This window comes from Homo sapiens, chromosome 10 (assembly GCF_000001405.40).
Source record: "Homo sapiens chromosome 10, GRCh38.p14 Primary Assembly".
Classification (NCBI taxonomy): Eukaryota; Metazoa; Chordata; class Mammalia; order Primates; family Hominidae; genus Homo; species Homo sapiens.
Genome location: NC_000010.11, coordinates 42,989,615 through 43,007,568, shown reverse-complemented (window position 1 = coordinate 43,007,568; position 17,954 = coordinate 42,989,615). Strand labels below are relative to the sequence as shown.

The 17,954-nt window shown below is 50.8% G+C and overlaps 1 non-coding gene across 1 annotated transcript, besides 3 other annotated features; it reads right to left on the bottom strand.

Annotated features, from left to right (window-relative positions):
- Nucleotides 6,349-7,044: an enhancer, noted in NCBI's record as "H3K4me1 hESC enhancer chr10:43495973-43496668 (GRCh37/hg19 assembly coordinates)". NCBI's record gives its function as "activates a minimal SCP1, AML or CMV promoter by ChIP-STARR-seq in naive H9 embryonic stem cells {active_cell/tissue: H9 hESC(naive)}" and the evidence as "EXISTENCE:reporter gene assay evidence [ECO:0000049][PMID:30033119]".
- Nucleotides 9,639-10,139: an enhancer, noted in NCBI's record as "H3K4me1 hESC enhancer chr10:43492878-43493378 (GRCh37/hg19 assembly coordinates)". NCBI's record gives its function as "activates a minimal SCP1, AML or CMV promoter by ChIP-STARR-seq in primed H9 embryonic stem cells {active_cell/tissue: H9 hESC(primed)}" and the evidence as "EXISTENCE:reporter gene assay evidence [ECO:0000049][PMID:30033119]".
- On the bottom strand, nucleotides 9,888-10,006 carry MIR5100 (microRNA 5100). The gene has a single exon (NR_049836.1). It is a non-coding gene; the product is annotated as a microRNA 5100 (primary transcript).
- Nucleotides 16,772-17,504: an enhancer, noted in NCBI's record as "H3K4me1 hESC enhancer chr10:43485513-43486245 (GRCh37/hg19 assembly coordinates)". NCBI's record gives its function as "activates a minimal SCP1, AML or CMV promoter by ChIP-STARR-seq in naive H9 embryonic stem cells {active_cell/tissue: H9 hESC(naive)}" and the evidence as "EXISTENCE:reporter gene assay evidence [ECO:0000049][PMID:30033119]".

Sequence of the window (17,954 nt, the reverse complement as noted above, 5' to 3'; positions counted from 1 at the left end):
CCAAAGCAGGCAGATCATTTGAGGTCAGAAGTTTGAGACCAGCCTGGCCAACATGGCAAAACCCTGTCTCTGCTAAAAATACAAAAGAAATTACCTGGGCATGGTGATGCATGCCTGTAGTCACAGCTATTTAGGAGGCTAAGGCACAAGAATTGCTTAAACCTAGGAAGCGGAGGTTGCAGTGAGCTGAGATCGCGCCACTGCACTCCAGCCTGGGTGACAGAGTGAGACTCTGTCTCAAAAAAAAAACAGTAATAATAAATATGTAAAATTAATAACTTAGGAAACTAGATAAAGAGGTACAATTTAAGCATGAATCAAGAGGGAAAAATGAAATAATAAAACATAGAACATAAATCAATGAAATTGAAAAGATGAAAAAAACAAAACTATCTTTTATAGAAAAGATCAATCAAATTCGTAGGCCAAAAGCCAGGTTAGAGAAAAGACACAAATTACCAATATCAGAAATGAAAGAGGAGTTATCACTAGTGATTCCATAGACATTTAAATGATAATAAAGGAATACTATAAACAACTCTATGACCACAAATTTGATAACATTATTAAATGAACCAATGCTTTGAAAGACACAAGCTGCTAAGACTTACAGAAACAGAAATAGATCATTGGAATAGGCCTATACCTATTAAAGAAATTGAATCAATAATTAATAACATTCCACAAATACAAGAACCAGTGAATTCTACCAAACATTTAAGATATAAAATGGAAGAGGGACTATTTCCTAACTCATTCTATGAGGCCATGATTACCCTAATTCAAAAAAACAGATAAAAACATTACAGGAAAAGAAAACCACAGACCAGAAATTCTCATGAATATAGATTCAAAAATACTCATCCAAATATTGGCAAATATATCCATTAAAAATAGGTTCTGGCCAGGCATGGTGGCTCATGCCTGTAATCTCAACACTTAGGGAGGCAGAGGCAGGAGGATAGTTTGAGCCCAGGAGTTCGAGACCTGCCTGGGCAACATAGTGAGATCCTGTTCTCCACAAAATGGAAAAAAAAAAGACAAAAAAAAAAAGGTTCTGTTGGACAAGAGGTTGTTGGAAAAAAAAGAAAAAAATTGGTAAGTTGGACTTTTATTAATTAAACAATTCTGCTTTCCTAAAAGACACTTAAGAGAATAAAACAACAAGCCACAGACTAGAAGAAAACCTCCGCAGAACATCTATCGGATAAATTGCCTGTATACAAAATATACAAAACAACTCTTAAAACTTAACAATGAAAAAAACCCAGTTAAAAATCATCAAATGATATGAACAGACACCTCACTAAAGAAGACATACAGATCATAAAATAACATATAAAAGGATGTTCATCATCATTTGTCATTAGGAAATTGCAAATTAAAACAACAAAGAGATACTAATACACACCAATTAGAATACCTAAAATCTAAAAATGAACAATCCTAATGCTGGTGAGAATAGAGAGCAACAGGAGCTCGCGTTCATTGATGTTGAGAATGCAAAGTGGGCCAGTCACTTTGGAAGATAGTCTGGCAGCTTATTATAAAGTTAAACACAGGATTACCATATAATCCAGCAACCACACTCCTAGGTATTTACCAACTGATTGAAAACTTACGTCCACAAAAAATCTACGTGAATGTTTATAGTGGTTTTATTCACAATTGTCAAAAACTGAAAGCAACCAAAATGCCTTTCACAAGGGAATGGATAAACCAACTATGTTATATCCATGCAATAAAATGTTAATCAGCAATAAAAAAAGAACCATCAAGCCATGAAAAGAAATGAATAAATCTTTAATAAATGTATATTGTTAGTTTGAAAAAATTGCATACCATGTGATTCCAATGATATCTTCTGAAAAAGGCAAAACTGTAGAGATGGTAAACAGATTGGCGGGTGCCAGGGGATTGGGAGTAGGGCATTGAACAAGTGAAGCACAGGAAATAGCTTAAGGTGGTGAAACTATTCTGTATGATTTTGTGAAGGTGAATACAAGATATTAAACGTGTGTCAAAATACACAGAACTTGACACAAATGCATGTATATTTTTAACATGTAGGATGTTGGAGATCCCAGGATGGAATGCAGAATGTGACAAAATAATGTAACTGCATTACAAATGTATGAAATAATCTCATTTGAAGAGGGTGGGAGAAACGGTGCTGACCTAAGTAATTTTGGGAATTAGCGGATTTTTCTAAGACTAAAGACAAACAGAAAGGCACGTAAGCACTGTATTATTTTTGGCAAAGTTTTTCCCCACAGAAGTATGGGTTAACAATTCTGAAACCACTATACATGTGGATCAGACAATTTGATAAGTGTCTGGTGGATGGTGGGAACCAGCATCTCGCTGTTTGAGTGGGAGGTTACAGAAGAAGCAAGGGTGCTGGAAGGGGAGAATGATCCATGCGATAGTAGATTAGAGGGGGAGACATCATGTGGACTAACGTTTAGCTTAATATAGATATGTAGATATAGATAGAGACATAGATATGTGTTATACTAGAGTTCTCCAGAGAAACAAAACTAATTGTGTGTGTGTGTGCATGTAGACACACAGAAATTTTTAAGGATCTGACTCCTATCATGTGATTGTGGGACCTGGTAAATCTGAAATACATAGAGCAAGCCTGCAGGCTGGAAGTTAAGGCAAGAATGGATGTTTCAGTCTTGAGTCTGAAATTTGCAGGCTGGAAACTCAGGGTTTCTATGCTGCAGTCTGGAGGCACAATTGCTTCTTCAGGAAGCTTCAGTCTTTACTCTTAGGGCCTTCAAATGATTGGATGAGATGAGACCTACCGGTGTTGTAAAGGGTAGTTCCTATAAACAATACTATCACAGTAACAGCTAGACTAATGTTTGGCCAAAAAACTTGGCACCATAGCCTAGCCAAGCTGACATACAAAATTAACCATCACATGGATACACACATGGGTGAGCATCCATACAGATTTCCTTGCTCTGTCCACTGAGAGGGCCTAGAAGCAACAATGCCCCCAGTAGAAATGAGCATCCCCAGCACCCATATCTTGGTTTTTAATACCATTGTCTAGTGAAAGAAACCAGAGATCCTTGGAGAATGGTTGTTTCTAGGAATGTGGCAAGAAATATTGAAGTTGAGCCTAGAGCACTTTGTAGCACCAGAAAGCAAGAACATGATAAAACAAATAAACAAACAAAAAATCAACCCACAATGATAGGACTATGCAAAAGAGACACAGGAGTCAACTGAAAGAGCTCCCAACAGCCAAAACTGGAACAGTTTGAGCAACAAAATAAAGTAGTATCAGATTATAACCCAAGTTATACAATAAATATCCATATTGACATCAATAAATTACTGAATAAATAAATCAATGTGGGGGAGGAAAGACAAATATTCTGTGCAGGAGAATTCCAAACAAATTATGTTGATACCCCACCCTTAAGGTCAGGTAGCGAAACTCCCCACTCCCGAAGTGGAAGTTGTGCTTAATGACTTCCTTCCAAAGGGTGCAGTGTGGAAGAGTAATTGTAGCAGAGACACCTGACAAGCACCGCCCCAGCCAGGGGGTCAAGGTCAGCATCCACAGTGATAAGCCACAGCACCATTCCCAGTAGCAAACGTGGAATCAATCTATGTGCCCACTAACTGTGGACTGGATAAAGAAAATGTGGTTCATATGCACCACGGAATACTATGCAGCCATAAAAAGGAGTAAAATCACATCCTTTGCAGCAACATGGATGCAGCTAGGATGCAGGTCATTATCTTAAGTGAATTAATACAGGAACAGAAAGCCAAATACCACATGTTCTCACTTATATGTGGGAGTTAAGCAATGGGTATACACAGATATAAAGATGGAAACAATAGACACTAGGGACTCCAAAAGGGGAGGGGGGACAAGAGTTGAAAAACTCCCTGTTGTGTACTGTGTTCACTATTTGGGTGATGGGTTCAGTAGAAGCCCAAACCTCAGCATTATGCAGTATATCCACGTAACAAACCTGCACATGTACCCCCTGGATCTAAAATGTAAAAAAACAGTGAAAAATTATGTTAGTAGCAGATACCCTTGGTGTGACATGATGAGAGTGACACTTTGGCTGTGGTCTTCCTCCCCAAGACACACTATCTTCATCTTATCAGACATCAGCCAAATCCCAGTAAAAGGGCATTCTACAAAGCACCTGGCCAGCACTCTTTAGAACTCGCAAGGTCACCGAAAACAAGGAACATCTGAGAAACAGCCACAGCCATCAGGAGCCCAAGAGACATGACCAGCAAATGTCATGTGATGTCCTGGAACTGGAAAAGGGGACTAGGTCAAAACTAAAAACATCAGAATAAAAGATGCTATTTCGTTAATACCAACACATCAACATGGTTCATTAGTTGTGACAAATGCACCTTACTAATGTAAGATGTTAGTAACAGGGGAGCTGGGGTGGTGTGTGTCAGAACTCTCTGTGCTATCTTCACGATAGTTCTGTAAATCTAAAGCTCTTCTAAAACAAAAAGCTTATTTTTAAAAAATGGATTGGAAGCTTTCTTTAGGGAGATGTGATGGATGAGCCAGCATCTTAATTAAAGGTTCCCCTTCACTGTCTCTTCTCTGGGCCTGTTCAGTTTCCCTCGAGAAAAGTCCTCCCACTTCCAGTCTGAGGAGCCCATGACTGGCCACTGGTATCTGGGCTGCTGCCTCCTGGAGAACGGGAGGGGCTGTGTCTTTGCTTCCCAGACAAACGTTCACTCCCCTGTCCCCAACCTGGTGCCTCCCTCTTCTTGGGACGTACCTGATATGCCCAGAAGCAGGGCCTCTCTGGCTCACCCTTTCCTGGGAATGAGGCTGCACCTCCCACAGGCTGGGCTGGGGGCCTGCGTTCCAGCTCTGGGGGTTCAGTCACTTTGCTCCTCCAGTTCCCTCTGTGGCATTGAGGGCTGTTTCCTCGAAACCATCTGCCCTCCAGGCCCACAGAGTGTGCTTCAGCCTCCTAGGCTCTGACTGATTTCATTGTTCATTTGCTTGTATTTTTCTTTGTAGGGTTTGGAATTCTCTATTTACTAATGATCATTTGATAGGATTCTGGGAGAGAGTGAAAATCAATGAAGTGTTCAATCTGCCAAGTTTAGGTGGAAGTTTCATTGAGCCTTCCACCATGGTCAAATGTCTGCAGGAAATCCAAGGCATGGTTTTTCCTACCCTCAGATCCTGGGGGCTTAGCACGGTCCTGAGGCTCCTGACAGATATAAACTCATCAGAAAATGCACAGGAAAAACACGAGAACTGATCAAAGTCAGTCAAAGATCAAAGTCAGAATCCCAGTCTCCCCAGAGCCCTGGATTCCCCTAGAAACCCATGGCTCCATTACCTGGAAGGAGGGATGAGGACACATGGGAGCAGCTCTGAGCATCAACTGCTCCAGGCAGGAGGTGGCTCCCTACCCCCCATTCTGACCTTTTCAGGGCCTAAGGGAGCCTCATCACCCCCCTCACCATCAAGAAGTGGCCACCACCCCTCCTGCTCCCATTGCCCTTGATGGACCCCTGGAGCTCCTGGCGAGGCTCTCCAGGGTCACCTAGACAGTCCCTGACCCACTTTTTCCTGGCTTATGATACTTCACCCCCGGAGGAAATAGGAAAAGAAAGTCAATCCATGGGTTTCTCCTAACACAAAGAAAGCTAAATGCTGTCACTCAGGTGCAAAGTGGCCTGAACATGGGCTTGGAAGCTTTGAAGAAAAGCTTCCAAAGCCACAATGCCTCCTGGAGTCTTTGCTGCTCAGGGCTCTGTCCTTCCCTGGAGCCTGAAGGATGCTCTGTAGAATTCTACTGTCTGCTGCTGGCAGGTCAGGGCTGCCACCTCACTTTACCCAGAGTGACAACCTGGCCAGATGAGGCTGGCTTGGGACATGCCCACCATGCAGGAGCCTGTGGGAGGTGGCGTGGCCCCCTGGGGCGGGGCTGGGTGCCAGCCTGAAAGGCCCATCTTCCAGCAATGGCACCATCTCCTACTGTCAGAAATACAGAAAAACAGGGGTCCTCTGACAACCTTGCAGCTGGGCAGCTCTGCTGTCTCCTTCAGCCCCATGGGGTCCTTGGAGGTGGGCATGAACCACGCAGCTCTGCAGCCTTGCTGGGTGGGGCAGCAGGTACAGGTGTGGGCAGCCTACCAGGGGGTGCAGGGCACTGACGGCACCACGTAGAGACCCTTGCAGGGCTGGGTGTGCCCTGGGTGGTCTCCTGAGGAGCCCAGAGAGTCTGCTCAGGTCCTGACCTGCTCCCGGAGACCAGCAGAGCCTCCCCGTATCAGGGCCCTCTCCATGGAGTCCACTTGCCCTTCAGCACCCACCCCTCTGCCAGCTGCTCCATGCCCAAAGCCTGACTCTGTGACAGCAGCAGAGGCTCCAGTGCCTGGGTGGCCCCTCAGTTCATCCAGGGTGGTGTGCAGGGGGAGGGAAGGGGAGGTTTCCTGGCTGTACTCCTTGGCTGAGCCTGGCTCCTGTTGGACAGTTACCTCCCCTGTGTTAGGTCAGCCACCCCCACCGCCACCCCCACTGCCATCATGGAACTGTCGTTGCCACAGCCATGCTGTCATCCCCCTTGGAGCCTTCCTCCCCTGCTGGGGCCCCACCACGCTCCTGAAGGGCGCTGCACATTCTTCCTCTTGTCACTGTGTCCCTCCACTGACATTAGCCTTCCTGTGTCTGTAAGGCACTGCCCATGCTGGGAAGGACATGGGGGCGCTCCTGGAGGGCAGAGGGCCTCGAGGGGCAGGCCTGGGACCCTTGAAGGGAGGACTGTGAGGCCACGAGAGAAGGTCACGCGGCTGGGTGTCAGGGCCGGTGGCTACACCAGCACCAGCTCCCCAGCCCCGTCCCCTGCAAAATCCAGGCCAGGCGCAAGTTGGGGAGGGGTCTCAGGGTGGCCAACAGCCTGCTCTCTCCAGAAGAGGCTCTGTCTTCATGGATTTCTGGTGGCCTCTCTTGTCTTTTGTCAACCTGTGTTCTCTGTTTATCAATAATATCAATGACACAAATCCCAAGCCAGGGGCTGAATTGCAGCATCTGCTGGGAAACCCGTCCTTCTTCCACTTGCCCCTTCAATGAATGCCATCTGAAAGGAAGGAGCACAGGAGCCTGGGGATGTAGAGGGCCATCATGCTGCCTCCCATGGGCTCCTTCATGTCTGCACCCCCAAGTGGGTTGCAGGGATGCCTGACTGAAGGGGTGCACCACAGGTGTCCTCACACAAAGGGACGCCTGCTCGCAGAGCACTGGAAGGATGAGGGCTCAATGGCCTGGGAGGCCCAGGCTGGCTGTGGGACCCAGGCCCTGATGCCTCCACCAACCCCAAACCACCCCCACTGCCCCTGGCCCCATGGTGCAATCATGGCTGGCTTGGGTATGTATTGGGGATGTGCTGGGCTGGGCAGCCTGGACCCAGGCTCCCCCTAAAATCTAGACTAGAGAGGGGTGGGCGCTGAGCACTGCCCAGTGGAGGGGCCTGGGGGAGCTTCTAGGTGAGGCTCTAAGGCTACAGAGCCTAGGCAGGGGTTCTCAGGAGAGGGCCTGTGGCCAGTCTGAGGTGGGCTGGGCCACAGGTCCCAGGATGGACTCCAGGGAGCACTGCACCTGCCCAGGAGCCCCGCAGGTGAAGCAGCCTCCCAGGCCCTGTGTCTCCCAGGGACTGCCCTGGCCTGGGCTATGGCAAGTCCCGTATGTCTCCTGGAGACATCAGCTCCCGTCTGGGTGGCCAGGCGGACTCACGGGCATGGGCCAGCACAGGGTGTGGCAAGAGAGATCAGCTGGGAGAGGAGAATTGGGGACTGCAGGCCTTGGTGCCTGCTGACCTCCACCCCTCTGAAGAGAGCCTGGCTCAGGGCTTCTGGACTCAAAGGAGGGCAGGCAGGACTCCCCAGTTGTCCTGGGCCTGTGTGAAGGTCCCCCTGGAGCTCCTAGGGGTCACCAATGCATAGCCAGGCAGGTGGTGCACTGTGGCAGCTCCAGGGAGAAAGATGCACTGGACCATGAGGCCAGGCAGCAGGGCTGTGATCAGCAGGAGGGTAGGAGAACAGAGGGGCTCAGAGGTGGACGTCCTATGTGGTTGGCTTGCAGGATCCGGGGACACTTCTGACGCTAGGGGACATGCTGGGGCTGTGGACAAGGATCATGGAGTGGGCAGCCCTTGAAGGCATCTGAGACATGCTGATGACACGACGGGCGTTGGGGGCTGACAGTGCAAGGCAGCCATAGGCCTGTGGCCAGTTCTAGGGCAGCTGTCACGGACAGGCACAGATGTCCTGGCTGGGGTCCTGAGAAGCTCCCGAGAAAGGTTTCCATGGGCCTCAGAAGCCAGGCTGTGTCCCACAGCACAGATGCAGGCCCTGGGCATCTTACCCTCCTGGGTGACCCTGGAGGGGCCAATCACAGGTGGGGCCTGCAGAGACACTAAGGCTTCAAGGCCAGGGCCTCGCGGGCTGCATCCTCTGTATCCCCAGGGCTCCCTGGAGAGTCCTGCTTTCCCACTTCCAGGAGACACATCTGCTAGGCAGGTGTGGTGTTCTGGGCCAGGAGCCTCCCACTTGGCATGTGGTCCTGGGCTCTGGGCTCTTCACCTACAGGTCAAGCCTGGGACCTGTTGTCCATGGCCAGGACTGGCACAAATCTGATCCTTTTGTGGAGGTCAGCAGTCTGTCTTCCAGCTTTTCTGCCACCAGCTAATGCTTATCTGGTATGAGCTGTGCCCGGCATTTGCTGGGCTCTTTACACCCTGAGGAGACTGCTCTCACACCCCTGTTCTACAGGGGGAAACTGAGGCTCACTGGGGGTTTGTGGCATGCCCCCGGCCGCAGCAGCTTGAGTGTCTTAGTCAGGTTTACAACCCACTGGCTGGATCCACAGCTCAGGGAGCCTTTCTCCACAGTGACATAAACTGTGGGGTCACTCCCTCAGCTCATGGCTATGGACCTCACGGCCCCTAAGTGCTGGCTGAGGAAGTACGACCATCCCACCCCTCCATGAGGGTCCCTGCCTGGAAGCACAGGGAGCACAGATGCTTCCTGGGTGCAGCAGCCCTGAGCCATGCCCCACTCTCGGGCTCTGCATTAGTTAAGGTTTTCCCGAGAAACAGAAGTGATAGGATGCGTGTGTGTTTATTAAAGGAGATGGATGGCAAGGAATTGCTTCATGAGATAGTGGAGTCTGAGAAGTCCCCAGATCTGCTGCTGGCCAGCTGGAGCCCCAGGAGAGCTGATGGAGTTTGTCCCAGTCTGAAGGCCAGGGGCTTGACATGCATGAAGAGCCTGTACTTCGGTTCAGGTCTGAAGCCTGGAAAAGACCAAGCTCCCAGCTTAAGGCAGCCAGGCAGAATGAATTATCTCCTACTTGGCCTTTGTGTTCAGCTTAGGTCTGCGACAGGTTGGATGGGTCTACCCACACTGGGAGGCTGTCTGCTTTGCAGTCCATGGATTCAAGTGTTCATCTCACCCAGAGCCCCCCTGACACACACCCAGCATAATGTCTGGCCAAACATCCAGGCCCCCTGTGTGCCAGTCAAGCGGACGTGTGAAATTAACCAATGTGGGCTCTGAGATTCCAGGCCCAGGAGACCCACATCCTCCAGCTTCTGCTGATGTGCCCTGGGGTCCCTGGGGACAGGCTCTGGCTTGGTGCCTGGATGGGGTTGGGGCCACTCAGCAGCATGTCACCTGGGCACGTCCTTCACACCCCAAGCCACCCGCCTCCTCTGTAAGTGGGCTGTACTGCCTTAACTGATGACCCCTGCAGCTGCTCTGAAAACTGGTCCCAGTGGAAGTGACATGAAGACCACCTCCTCAGGTGTGTCCCTGTTAGCTAAGACCAGATGAGGATGCTGGGACTGGGCAGGGTCAGCTGACTGCCCAAGGTCCTGTGGCCAGTTAGAGGCACCGCTGGGATCTGAACCCATGTGGTCTAGCTCCAGAAGCCACGCTCCTACCCCCAGGCCATCCCACTGCCAGCTCCTCATGGCTGTTTCTGAAGGTGATGGAGGGACTCACCAGCCCAGGTTCCCAGGACTGTCTGGGCTTTGTGGCAGGAAACTGGGGCAGAGCAGGGGCCTCCGGGTGGGAAGGATGACCCTTTCCCAGCAAGACAGGACCTCGTCTCTTGCTAGAGCCCAGCTGGGGTTAGGTTTGGGATAGTGTGCTCAGGACATGTGATCAGAGGGAAGCTGGAAAGCTCTGAAGGGGGAAGGCTCCCCACACATGGATAATCCCTCATACAGAGACCCCAGACTCAGCATAGGATCCCAGACAGAATGGCCTTCACACGCTGCCTGGCTCCTTCCAAAATCAATACAGGCTCTTAAAATGCTGAAATAGTTCTGGTGCATGCTGAGATTTGTTGGACTGAGTTTAAAATCCTGGTGTGTGTGTGTGTGTGTGTGTGCGTGCGTGCGTGCACTGAGAGTGCTGGTGAGCTTGGAGAGGTTCCAGTCTTAAAAAGGACCCTGGCCCCGAGAGGCCACCTGACCACCAAGAACAGCCCGTGTAATTCTGGAAGGTGGATTTGGGATTCCTGCTTTCATGCCCTGAGGGCCCCTGAGGGCTCAGGACTGAGGGACAGAGGCTGCTGGGATGAAAAAGGTGCATCCCTGGCTGGGAAACTCCAGGCTTGGGTGGGCTTCTGCTGAGACCCAGCTCCATGCAGAGGTTCATACTGCCTGTGCCTCAGGGACCAGCATATCCACCTCCTGTCATCCAGTTGAGGCCTCAGGGCTCCCAGGGAAAGGAGCAGGGTCCCCCCAAGCCCAGGATACCAGGACCAGCCGGGCTCCAGCCCCACCCCTCCTTGTGCATTTCTGCCCTCCCAGGCTTCCCTGCGCCTTCATTACCAACCTTGTCCTCAGCAACCACGGCTTGTAAACCATATTCCACGTGCTTGGGTTTTCCCTCTGGACACACAGGCTCTGAGAAGATGGTTTAGGCAGTTCCCAACTTCACGATCACAGCAGGTCCTGCCAACCCACCCTGGACCGTCCCTAGCCTGGACCAGGGACACCCCACCCATGGGAGGATGGGTTGGAGCTGTCCTGGAGCTAGGCTGGACTGGGCCCTGCAGCCTCCAGGCAAATGCCTTTTCCTTTACAAAGCTGGTAAAGTGCTCTAGGTCACTCACCCTTGGAGGATCTCTCTGCTGCTTCATCATCTGGGAGTCGCTGTCTCCATTCCCAGGGATTCTCTGTGTCTTTAAGTCTAAGTTGGGGATTGGCCCGGCCACACCAACTTTCATCCCATCCGTATTTACACTCCACGGCTTTCCACACCCTCTTGCCTTCTACCTTTCTATACTTCACTGTGACCTCTGTAAGCAACGTCTGACACAAGACTTTGCTTTTGTGTCCAATCTGACAGTCTCTGTTCAGTACATTCATGGTTACTGTTTTCTCTGGATCTAGGAAAATTTATTTCCACCACTTATTTTTTTGTCCTGGCTTCTGGACTTCCATTTTCTCTCTCCTTTCCTAACTTCTATTAGAAATACTCAATTTTCTGTATTCTTTTTCTTCTTCCCAATTGCTTGGAAGTTATGGTAGGCTGATCATGACTCCCACAGATACACCCATGTCTAATCTGGAACCTGTGAATATCACCTGTATTGCAAAAGATGTGATCGAGTGAGGGACCTTGAGAGGAGGAGCATGTCCTGGGTCATCCAGGGCCCTAAATACCATGTATCCTATAAAAGAGAAGCAGAGGGAGTTTTGACCCAGACCTGCACAGGGGACAAGGCCCTGTAAACAGAGAGCAGGCATTGGAGAGACATGGCCCAGCTCAGGAATGATGCCAGCTGTGGGAAGCTGGAAGAGGCCAGGAAGGCTCCTCCCCCGAGCCTCAGAGGGAGCATGGCTCTGCCTCCTCCACACCTTGATTTCTGTCTCCTGGCCTCCAGGATTGCAAGAGAATACATTTTTGTTGTTATAAACTACCAGACTTGTGGTAACTTCTTATAGCAATCACAGGAAACTAACACAGAGATCATATTTTCTATTTCTTTAATAAATTGTCCTAAAGTTTTAATACCTGTGCTAGAAAGGCATGCTCCTTGTGTAGACACAGCCCGTGTCTCCCCCTGCTCTTTGCCCGGTACTGGGCATGCTAGGCTTTGCTGTTTGGAGTACTAGCCTCACCCTGTTTGTATGGCCATAAATTAATTATTACTTTTCTTTGAATTGTCAAGGCTTTATTGGATCTACCTACAGATTTACCAACTTTGCTCACCATTGCTTCTTTAAAAAATGGTTCTTTTTGTAGCAAAAGATATACATCACAAAAATGCCATTTTAACCATTTTAAGTGTATAATTCACATTAATTACATTCACGATGTTGTGCAACCATCACTGATATCTACTTCCAAAACTGGAACTCTTGTGCACTGCAAACTTTTTCACCATCCCAAACAGATAATCTGAACCCATTAAGCAATAACCTCCCATCCCCCACCCCTAGCCCTTGGTAACCTCTAATCTGCTTTGTCTCTATAAATTTGCCTAGTTTAGATCTGGAATCCTACAATATTTGTCCTTTTGTGTCTGGCTTATTCTACTCAGCATAATGTTTTCAAGGTTCATCTCTGTTGTCATGTGTGTCAGAACTTTGTTCCTTTGTGCGGATGAATCATATTCCGTGTGGTGGAGCACGCTGTATTTATCCATTCATCTGTCGGTTGACTTTTGCCTGGTTTCCATCTTTTGGCTTTTGTGGATGATGCTGCTATAAACTTTGGGACACAAGCATTTTTTGATTTCTTGTTTTCAATTCTGTTGAGTATATACCTAGGAATGGAATTATTGGGTCACAATTCCATGGTAACTATACATTTAGCTTTTTGAGGAATGACCACACTATTTTACACAACAGTTATACCACTTTCCATTTCCATCATCAATGCACAAGAGTTCCAGTTTCTCCACATCCTCACCAGCAGTTGTTACTTTTAGCTTTTCTGATTATAGCCATGCCAATAGGTGAAGTGATGGTGGCTTTAATTTACATTTCTCTAAAGATTAGTGATGTTGAGCATCTTTTCATGTGCTTATTGGCATTTGTGCATCTTCTTCAGAGAAACATCTATTCAAATCCTTTGCCCATTTTTATTTTATTTTATTTTTATTTTTATTTATTTTTTGAGACAGGGTCTCATTCTGTCTCCTAGTCTGGAGGGCAGTGGCATGATCTCACTGCAACCTCTGATTCCCAGCCTCAAGTCATCCTCCAGCCTTAGCCTCCAGAGTAGCTGGGATTACAGGCATAAGCCACCATGCCTGGCTAATTTTTGTATTTTTTGTAGAGATGGAGTATCACTATGTTGCCCAGGCTGGTCTCAAACTCCTGAGCTCAAATGGACCCGCCTGCCTTGGCCTCCTAATGTGCTGGGATTACAAGCATGAGCTACATGCCCAGCCTGCCCATTTTTAAATTTGGTTGTTTTGTTCTTTTGTTTTCGAGTTTTAGAAGTTCTTTATATATTCTGGATATTAAACTATTATTAGATATATGATTTGCAGGTGTTTTCTCCCATTCTGTGGTTGTCTTTTCACTTTCTTGATAATGTTGTTTGGTGCACAAAAGTTTTAAATTTGATGAAGTCTAATTTATCTGTTTTTTGTTGTTATTGTTATTCTTACTTGAGATTTTGATATCATATCTAAGAATCCATTGCCATATCCAAGGTCATGAAGATCTACCACTATGCTTTCTTCTAAGAGTTTTGCAGCTTTTGCTCTTATATTTAGGGTATTGATCCATTTTGAGTTAATTTTTGCCTATAGTGTGAGGTAGGGGTCCAACCTCATCTTTTGCATGCAGAAATCAAGTTGTCCCAGTAACATTTGTAGAAAAGACTGTTCTTTCCCCATTGAATGAGCTTGGCATCCATGACAAAAATTAACTGGCCTTAAACGACTCTGAATTTTATTCTATTGATTTATATGTCTATCCCTATGCCAGTTTTACACTGTTTTAACAGCTGTAGCTTTGTAGTAAATTTGAAATCAGAAAGTGTAACTCCTCTGACTTTGTTCTTCTTTTTGAAGGTTGTTTTTGCTACTTGAGGCCCCTTGCAATTCCGCATTGATCTTGCTCACCCACTTGGGCTGCCCAGTTGTGGTTGCCTGCAGTACTGTGTTGAGAGAGATCCTGAGGACGTGTCTGAGTTTGGAGGGGCAGGGGTTGCCGGTGACTTCCAAGGCCTGCCATAGGTGGAGGGGAGGGTGCCATGGTGTAAGCGCCAGCTTTGCTGCCCACCCCATGTACACAGAGTGGGGAGATGGAAGTACAGGGAAAAGGACAGGGCCTGCAGGCTCTGCCTCCCGTCCCAGGCCACTTCTACATAGCAGCAGATTCCGGATTCCGGATTCCGGGGCGGGGGCTCTGTCTACCCTGAGAGTGCAGGTTAATGTGGTGTTACATATTGCATGAGGCTGCCTGCTGATGAAGCACACTGGCGAATCTTGCTTACAGGCAACCTCGCCTCTGAACTCAATGCCCAGAGGAGCCCATTAGCTGGGTTCAGCAGGTCGATAGGCACCTCGGGAAGGCCTGGGGGTGCTGGCGCAGGCTGAGGCTGCACTGCCACCCTGAAGTCTCTGTGGGAATGTAGCTCAGAGGCACAGCCTTGTCTGAGACCACCTTGGCCATCCGTTCTGGGAAGTAAAGCACAGCTGTGTCCTGGCCGGGCACACTTGGGGCCTCACAGCCCCCACCCTGTCCAGGCCTGCATCCCTTCTGGTGCCTCCCGCTAGTCTGGGTCTCGTTGCCCCAGTCACCCGCTGAGCCTCACCTCTGCCTGAGCGAGGTCAGATAACATGCCCAGGACCCTCCTGGGGGTGGCTGACATGCTGACACTTGGGACTGATCTCACCTGGGCAGGAGGAGAGTTGCATAGGTGTGTCAGTCTGCAGCCTTTGTCTCATCCAGAACCAGCCAGGTGGGTCTCTGTGGCCCCCAAGAGCAGCACAAGCTCTCACGCTCCCTGACTGGCCACATTTCTTGGGGATGTAATTGCCTTTTTCCTGGACCTGTTTGGATGAAGGGATAGGTGCAGGCTTATTGGGTGGTGCCATGGGCAGTTCTCAGGTCCCTGTCCATCTCGTGTCCCCCAGGCCTGCCCTCTTTCAGCTCCCTGGAGGAGCCCCAAGGTGGTGTCCCCAGGAGCACACCCCATACAGGCTGGTGAGACATCCGCAGGGCTGCAGAGCAGACCCATGGTGGGGACGCCTCACCTTCTGCTTGTAGATGCTCCACCATGCACCAGGTCTGGGCTGGCTACGGTAAGGGGTGACGGGCTGGAGCCTGGCAGACAGCATGACCAGGAATGGGGTCTCCTTCTTCCTCTTGGACTTGTGACTGCAACTAAGGTCCTACTGAGACTGCAGTTTTGGGGTTCATCTATCAGGCAGGGGTCTCTGGGCTGCTAGTGCAGAGGAAGTGAGGTTGGCCTCTGAATCCTATGGGGCTGGCCCTGGGGCACAGAGCACACAACAGTGTGAGCTGGAGATGCAGGGAGAAAGCCTGCAGCTCAGCAGGGCCACTCTGGTGCTGCAGGTGGTGGGAGGCAGCTCCTCCAAGGGCTGAGTGGCACCCATGGCCTCCACCCCACAGCTCTGGGTAGCTGCTCCCCATCACCTTGCATATCCCCTGACTTCTCCACCTCTCAGCTTGGTCTGAGCATCAGTGCAGGGTGCAGCCCACCCCTCTGCCCCGGGCCCGAGCCTTCTGTCAGGCCAGTGCAGGGGCCTGTGGGCCTCCTGCCCCAGACTGCCTGGAATCAGGAGACCCAGAGGCAGCCTCTGCCCTGCCCCACCCCCCCTCCCAGCAACGCGAAATGAGTGCACATCCGCGAACATAACCATGCAGGCTTTTCTCGGAGCTCTGTGAAAGCAGATACCAGCCCTGGTCTGGCCATCACTGTCCCCAGGCTCCAGATAGGATCATCGCCAATAAAAGTGTTGCCATATTTCACTAAAATGAATTATGGAGGCCATCTGGCTGGAGGCTGCAAAGTGAGACATGAACCTCCCCCAGGAGGCCTCCGGCCCTGAGGGTAGAGCCTGGCCTGGCGGGGAGGGAGACCCCAGGGAAAAAGGACGAGGGCTCCACAGGGCAGATGCAGCAGGGTGGGATCAGGCTGCAACCCTCACGCCCTGGATGGGAGGTTGACCTCTCGGGAAGGGCTTGCTCAAGCCGGCGGCTGGGGCTGGGCCAGGCTGAGGACCCAAGTCAGGCCAGCTGTCTCTTTGCTGCCTGGCCTGGGGTCCACACCTGGTCAGGGGTGCACCTTCATTGGGGATGAGTGTGTGTGTGTCACAGGGCCGTGAGTGCCTGCAAGCAGGCAGGGAAGCTCTCCAGCTCCCTGGGCCTACGGGCAGTTGGGGGTGGGGTGTAGGTGACCCCCTGAGGCTGGGCTGAGCACCCCAACCCTGCACAGGCCACGAGGAGACCAGGTTCTAGTCTGGAAACTGCCATTAGCTGGTTCTTCGAGGGGCAATGACAGTGCTCTGGCCTCAGAAAAGCACTGTGGGCCCTTCCCCACTGACACGGGCTGGAGACCACACGGACAGCATCTGTGACCACCCTGTGGCTCGGTACTAGCACACGGGTGCTGTCACCAGGAGCCGTGTGCGGGGAGCACTCAGCACAGAGCGGCAGTCAAGTCAGGGCTGGTGGGGCTCAGAGAGGACCTCACCCTTCCCCAGTATGCCCCATGTCTCCCCATGCAGGAGGGCTCTAAGACTGGTGTCTGGAGGGCCGCAGGAGGGCAGGCCTATCGCTGAATCTTCCCTAGACCTCCCACCCCTGTCTCCTTCCTCTGGGCTCAGATCTGAGGCTCCCATCTTCCCCTGGCTGCCTCCCCTCCCAGCCCCTGTGCTAATGGGGAGAGCGTGCATTAAGGCTGGTGACAGGAACCGCCGAGGAGACACCTTTTGATCTCCGGGTGGCAGGAAGCAGAGGGGTCAGGAAAGGGGCGACCTCTTCTGACACCAGCACTGATGGGCTCTGAGTCTCCCAGCCTGGGGGTGGCAGGTGGGATCAGGCCCCTGGACCTGCATGGGCTATCTGCAGAGGAGGGTACCCCAAGCATGCTCAGTAGGCCCCAATATTCCTTGACCAGTCACAAGGAGGGCAGGTGCCACTCATTTTCTAGAGTTCCCCTGGAATTCTCGCTGCCCCTGCAACAGATACGTCTTCGGGAGACCGCCCTAGTGAACGGGCTGCCTCCAGCCCGTGCCTAGTGAACGTGGCGCTTCCAGAGGCCCCCTCTGAGTTAGAGGCCATGACCTTGGGCTGTCCTGCCTGTGGGACCCCCGCCAGTTCCTCAGAGGCCCCCTCCTCGGCTTCTTTCTAGTGAGAGCTGAGGCCCTGCCCCTTGTCTGTGGCCTGCATGCCCTCCTGAGGCAGTGCGTGTTGGCAGAGGCCCTCAAGGTGGCCTGGAGGAGCTTGGGGACCTAGACTCCAGGCTATAGGGCCCCGAGGCATGGACCGCATGGACCCCAAGTTCCTGGGGTGCTCCTCTTCCCAGGGGTGCAATGCCACATGCAAGCATCCCTCTCTGTTCTCTCACCAAGGCTTTGTGTGAGTGTGAGGACAGCACCTCTCCCAGCTGGTCGGCAGCTGGATGGAGGGGGTGGCAGCCTGCAGCCCTCTGGTGGTCCCCATCACCCCTCACCTGACCTGACCTGTCCTGGCCATTGGCAGCCAGGAGCAGGTTGGAGGAAGGTGGGGAAGGGATGCTGTGAGGTGGGGCACCCTTGGAGTCCTCTGGTGTCCCTCAAATCATGGCCAGCACAGAGGTCTCCTCCTCCCCACTGCCGGCCCCAAGATGTGGCTCATGGTAGGGCAACCAGCAAGACCTGCAGGGCCAGGAGGGACTGCTGTGCACCTGCTCTGAGAAGAGCTTGCCCCCACAGCCTCCAT